At 40.3% G+C, this 6,545-nt stretch overlaps 1 annotated feature.

Annotated features, from left to right (window-relative positions):
• Positions 381 to 620: an enhancer, noted in NCBI's record as "active region_4773". NCBI's record gives its function as "activates an Ori minimal core promoter by ATAC-STARR-seq in GM12878 lymphoblastoid cells {active_cell/tissue: GM12878}" and the evidence as "EXISTENCE:reporter gene assay evidence [ECO:0000049][PMID:35858748]".

Below are 6,545 nucleotides of genomic sequence, written 5' to 3' on the forward strand. Positions count from 1 at the left end.
TGTGTATGAGGGAAGCATAAATTGATATTTTTAGGAAGCTGTTTAGCAGAATCAACTATAGCCAATTAAAAGTATGCCCATGACTCAGCAATCACATTCCTAGGTATATATTCCTAGGTATAACAGAAATTAGTCCATATTTGAACAAAAAAATGTTTAGAATGTTTCTAGTAACTTTATTCAAAAATAGAAAACTGGAAAAAATTGAATCATCCATCAACTGTAAAAAGTGTTGCAGAATCTTGCTCCTTAGTTCAGCTAAAACTGGGTTCTTGTCACTAAACCAGGAAAATTTAGGCATGCAAACACATTGAAGGGTGAGTAGAACAAGATTTTACTGGGTGAAAAGAGAAAAAAAAGAAAAAAAAACTCAGCAAAGTGAGATGGAGTACTGCTAACAGGCCACTGACCTCACAGATTGGATACTGGGCCACCACACAGGAACTGAAGAGAGCAGGCTCCTCTCCTGCATAAGGCCTGAATTCCCCGTGGCTCCACCTACTTCCCCCAGTGTACATGTCGGCCTCCAGTCCGCTGTGGGCATGCCCAGACAAGCCCTGGGCAGGTTTCCCCATCTGCACAAAAGCATCTGATGTAAACACTTCTGGGGCAGGTGGGAGATTCTCCAGGGACCTTTTTTTTTTAATCTGCCTAAGCATTTGGCTGTCTCATTATCCCCTTTAATGAAGTACATCTAGCTGCCATTAGAATAAGGATACGGGTAAGGATGAAGACCGATCTTAACTGCTGCTTCCAACAGTGGGCGCTGTTCGGGAAAATGGCAGTCAGATCTCCCTCAGAGGCCTATCTAAGGGTCGTTGTTAAAGGGGCCATTGTTGGAGGTTCTGGTTGCATGACCATGTGGAGATTGATGGCCTGAAGGCAAGAAGAGACAAACAGGGTTATTAAGAAACACATATCAAAATGAAACAAGGGGTGGGTAAGGACAGCTCAGAGATCCTGAGATCTTTTATTAGTTTGCACAGGGAGAGGGAGGCCAAAAACCCGACTGGTAAAAAAAGAAAAAGAAAAAAAAAACTTTTGCCCTTTTGCTAGCATGTGAGGCTTCTGGGTCCCTTCCCCTGAGCCCAATCCTAAGCCAATTGGTTTAAGGTTTGAGAAATTAATTCTTCCCAGTTTGGAGAATGCATCTGAGGGGAGTGTTCCATAGTATGGATGAGAAGTGAAGCCAGCTGGACTTCCTGGGTCACATGGGGACTTGGAGAACTTTTCTGTCTAGCTAGAGGATTGTAAATGCACCAATCAGCGGTCTGTGTCTAAAGGATTGTTAACGCACCAATCGGCACTCTGTAAAAACACACCAATCAGCACTCTGTGTCTAGCTAAAGGATTGTAAATGCACCAATCAGCACTCTGTGTCTAGCTAAAGGACTGTAAATGCACCAATCAGCACTCTGTAAAATGGACCAATCAGCAGGGCGTGGGCAGGGAAAAATAAGGGAATAAAAGCTGGCCACTCCGGCCAGCAGTGGCAACCCGCTTGGGTCCCCCTCCATGCTGTGGAAGCTTTGTTCTTTCGCTCTTCACAATAAATCTTGCTGCTGCTCACTCTTTGGGTCCGCACTACCTTTATGAGCTGTAACACTCACCGTGAGGGTCTGTGGCTTCATTCCTAAAGTCAGCGAGACCATGAACCCATGGGGAGGAATAAAAAACTCTGGACATGCCACCTTTAAGAGCTGTAACACTCACTGTGAAGGTCTCCAGCTTCACTCCTGAAGTCAGTGAGACCACAAATCCACTGGAAGGAAGAAACTATGGACACCTCTGAACATCTGAAGGAACAAACTCTGGACACACCATCTTGAAGAGCTGTAACGCTCACCGTGAGGGTCCGTGGCTTCATTCTTGAAGTCAGTGAGACCAAGAACCCACCAGAAGGAATAAATTCCAGACACATGGAGACACAATTATGTATCAGTGAAGAGAGAAAGGGAAAGAAAAAGGAAAAAATAAGGTATTTTTTTCAGAGGAGTCCTACAGGTTCAGGATGCATTTGAAAGGGGTACAGACTGAAGATGAATGACTACTCATCTAGAAAGAGGGGAGCAGGTGTCCCTGGTTACTTTCTCTTCCTAGTCAATGCCCAGGGTATATCAGGGAGGGAAAGTGAGACATTCCTCTTTCTTTCCTCTGTCCTTGTATCCCCAAGTCCTGGCAACCGTGATAGGGTGCCCTCCATGGGTGTCAAAGCAGCTTTTGCCCATGTTAATGGGGAGGGGGTGGGGAAGGGAATATTTGCTCTTACCCTATCTCCTCTGCTGTCAGTAGCCTTTGAATTCCCTAGTCCTCATTTTGCACCATGGATACTAGCATGACCTTATCCATGAAATGGGAAGCAAACCTCATATCTGACCCAAATAATTTAGTTTGCCTATTTATATTTTGACTACATCTGCATTTCACCAAAAATCTTTAAGGCTGCTTTTATTTCTCAAAGATTAAAGTCATGTGAACTAAAATGTACCACAGCTTTTATCTTCCCTTTTAAAAAATATTTGATCCAAGTGCTTATCTTCCTTTAGGCCAATTAATTAGCAATTTTTTAATAGACATCACACATACAATACATATATAACTACACAGACAGGCAGAAGAAATCCAGCATCCATAAGATTTTTCATTTGCTAATCTCCTAATTGGATTATTGGTCTCTGGGTGGAGCCCTTTAAGAGACAGGGCTAGGAAAACATGCAGCTTCTAGGGTCTAATAAACAGGCACGACTGGGAGGCAAAATAGATTTTGAGAGAGATCAATCCACTTTTAATTCCTGGGGTTCCATGATGAAAACTGATTTCTTCCCAAAACAGGGTGAGTGGTGCCTTCGCCGTTTTTCCCAAGGAGTCCAATGACCCCAGGAGTTATCTTAAGGCCTCTCATGTGTGTATCGAGTGGAAAGACAAAATGGAGAAAAAGAATTTAGACAACTGAGAACAAAACCTTTTTCCAGCAAAACAAGATCCAAGAAAAGAAAAACATAAAGACCTTTTTAAATATACCTATAACTTGGATATCCACTTTTAATTAAGTTGAGTGCTCTTTAATGCTCATTTACCATGCAAAAATCCTAAGCCTTTAAGAATAATGCCAAGTCTACTCTGCCTGCGCCCTATAAATGGAACAGCATATGAATAACACCTGGATAACAGCACATCTGTTTACAGCATGTTTACTAAATATTTTGAGCCCAGTGTTGAAATCTACTGTGCCAAAAAAAAAACACTTTAAAAATATTACTGCTCATTGACAATGCACCTACTCACCCAAGAGTTCTGATGGAGATATACAAGGAGATAAAGTTTTTTCATGACTTTTCCTTTTCCTCCTTTTCCTCCTATTGCTCTATAGGATATTAACCATTTCATGATTTTAACACAATACCTATTCTGCAGCCAATGGAGCAAGGAGTAATTCTGACTTTCAAGTCTTATTATTTAAGAAATACTTTTTTAGGACTATAGCTGCAATAGATGGTGATTCTTCTAATGGGCCTGGGCAAAGTGAATCCGGGAAAACCTTCTGGAAAGAATTCACCCTTCTAGATGCCATTAAGAACATTTTTGATTCATGGAAAGAGGTCAAAATATCAACATTAAGAAGAATTTAGAAGAAATGAAGACCAAGCCTCATGGATGAGTTTGAGAGGTTTAAGACTTCAGTAGAGGAAGTAACTGCAGATGCGGTGGAGATAGCAAGCAAACTAGAATCAGAAGTGGAGCCTGAATGTGACAGAATTGCTGCAATCTCATAAAACTTGATTGCATAAGGAGTTGCTTCTTTTTTTTTTTTTTTTTTTTTTTTTTGAGGTGGAGTCTTGTTTTGTCACCCAGTCTGGAGTGCAGTGGCGCGATCTCAGTTCACTGCAACCTCCGTCTCCTGGGTTCAAGCGATTCTCCTGCCTCAGCCTCCTGAGTAGCTGGGACTACAGGTGCCCACCACCACACCAGGCTAATTTTTTTTATTTTTAGTAGAGATGGGATTTCACCGTGTTAGCCGGGCTGGTCTTGATCTCCTGACCTCATGATCCGCCCACCTCGGCTTCTCAAAGTGCTGGGATTACAGGAGGAGTTGCTTCTTATGAATGAGCAAAGAAAGTGGTTTTCTGAGATGAAATCTACTCCTGCTGCAGATGCTATGAGCACTGTTGAAATGACAACAAAGGATTTAGAATACTACACATACTTAGTTGATAAAGCGGTGGCAGAGCTGAAGAGGATTGACTTCAATTTTGAAACAAGTTCTGTGAGTAAAATACTATCAAACAGCATCACATGCTACAGAGAAGTCTTTCAAGAAAGGAAGAGTCAATCATCATGACAAACTTCCTTGTCTTATTTTAGGAAATCACTACAGCCATCCCAACCTTTAGCAACCACCACCCTGAGAAGTCAGCAGCCATTAACATCAAGGCAAGACCCTCTACCAACAAAAGATTATGACTCACTGAAGTCTCAGATGATCACTGGCATTTTTAACAATAAAGTATTTTAATTAAGATATGTCCAGTTTTAAATACAATACTGTTGTACACTTAATAGACTACAGTCTAATAGTCTAATAACTTTTTTTCAGATGGAGTCTCACTTTGTCACCGAGGCTGGAGTGCAGTGGCACAATCTTGGCTCACTGCAACCTCCGCCTCTTGGGTTTAAGCGATTCTCCTGCCTCAGCCTCCCTAGTAGCTGGGACTACAGGTGCACACTTCCACACCCAGCTAATTTTTTTCTATTTTTAGTAGAGACGGGTTTCACCATATTGGCCAGGCTGGTCTCGAACTCTTGACATCAGGTGATCTGCCCACCTCAGCCTCCCAAAGTGCTGGGGTTACAGGTATGAGCCATTGCATCCAGCCCTAATAACTTTTATATGCATGGAAAAACCAAAAAATTACTGTGATTCACTTTATTGCAATATTTGCTTTATTGTGGTGATCTAGAACTAAACCCACAATATCTCCAAGGTGTGTCTGTATTTATGTATATATAATATTAAAATAATTCAAAGATCTAATATAGGGGCAAGTCATATTACAAATTAGACGGCTCAAATTTTAAAGATATCAATCCTTCCTGTGGCAAATTAGAAGTGATCATAAACTCTTTGACACTCCTTGACCACAGAAAAAGTCAAGTCTAGGTCCCTTTCTCTTGAATCTAAGTGGACTTTGAACATTTTGACTCACAGAATATAGGAGAAATGATACTGTGACTTTCTAGGCCCACGCTTCAAAAGGACACAGCTTCCATTCTCTATACCTTAGAGCACTCTCTCTGGGACCCCTGAGCTGCTATACAGGAAGTCCAGCTACATTGACACTGCCCTGCTGTAGAAGCCACCTGCAGTGGCTTTTATCAGAGTCTCAGTTCAGCCAGCCTTACTTGCCAGTATATCAGGCATGAGTGAGGTCCTCTCAGACCCTTCAGACCAACCTATCCATCAACTGAATATCACCAAAATTAACAAGCTGAGAGAATACATGGACACATAGAGGGAAATGACAGACACTGGGGCCTATCCAAGGGTGAAGGGCGGGAGTAGAGAGAGGACCAGGAAAAATAACTAATGAGTATCAGGTTTAATACCTGCATGATGAAATAATCTGTTCAACAAACCCCCATGACACAAGTTTACCTATATAACAAACCTGCACAGGTACTCCTGAACTTAAAATAAGAGTTTAGACACAAAACTCATTCTAAATGTATGTGGAAATTAAATGAGACAAGAATGTCCAAGTTTATGTTGAAGAAGAATAAAGTTGGAGAACTCATGCTACCAAATATCAAGACTTATTCTAAAGCTACTAGTTTCTTGAGACACTCTGTTTCTGGGGGAGCCATGAGGGGCCATATTACAAGTATAACTACACTGAGACTGCAGAACTGGAGAAGCCACCTATAGAGCCTATTGTCAGAGTCCTAGCAATTGAGAGATTTAATAACTGTCCCAGTTATTAAGACAGTGCATGTGTAAAATATGCCAACAAAACAGAATAGAGTTCAAAAACAGATGTACACATTTTTAGACAATTTATAACAAGAACAGTTCAGAGCTGTATAAAGTATAGTTTTCAATAAATTGTCTTACAATGGGATAAAATGTACTTATAACTTTCAATAAATTCATAAAAATGAATGAGTTCCAGGCAGATTATAGATCTAATTGTTAAAGATAATACAATCAACAAAATATTAGCAAGTGAAACCCAACAGCATATTATTTACAAAGAAACAGAATTATTTAAAATGACCAAGTTAGATTTATCCTAGAAATGCAAGGGTGGTTCAATATAAGAAAATCAATCAGTGTAATATATCAAATTAATAAAACAAAGGGGAATAAAATGATATGATTATCTCAATTGTTGCAGGAAAAGCATATAACAAAATTCAACACCTTGCATGATAAAAACTCAGAAAACTAGGAATAGAGGAAAAATTTCTGAACACTATAAAGGATATTTATGAATGAATACAGATAATATGATTATCTATGGTAAAAGACTGAAAGACTTCTCTCTAAG

This window comes from Homo sapiens, chromosome 11 (genome assembly GCF_000001405.40).
Source record: "Homo sapiens chromosome 11, GRCh38.p14 Primary Assembly".
Classification (NCBI taxonomy): Eukaryota; Metazoa; Chordata; class Mammalia; order Primates; family Hominidae; genus Homo; species Homo sapiens.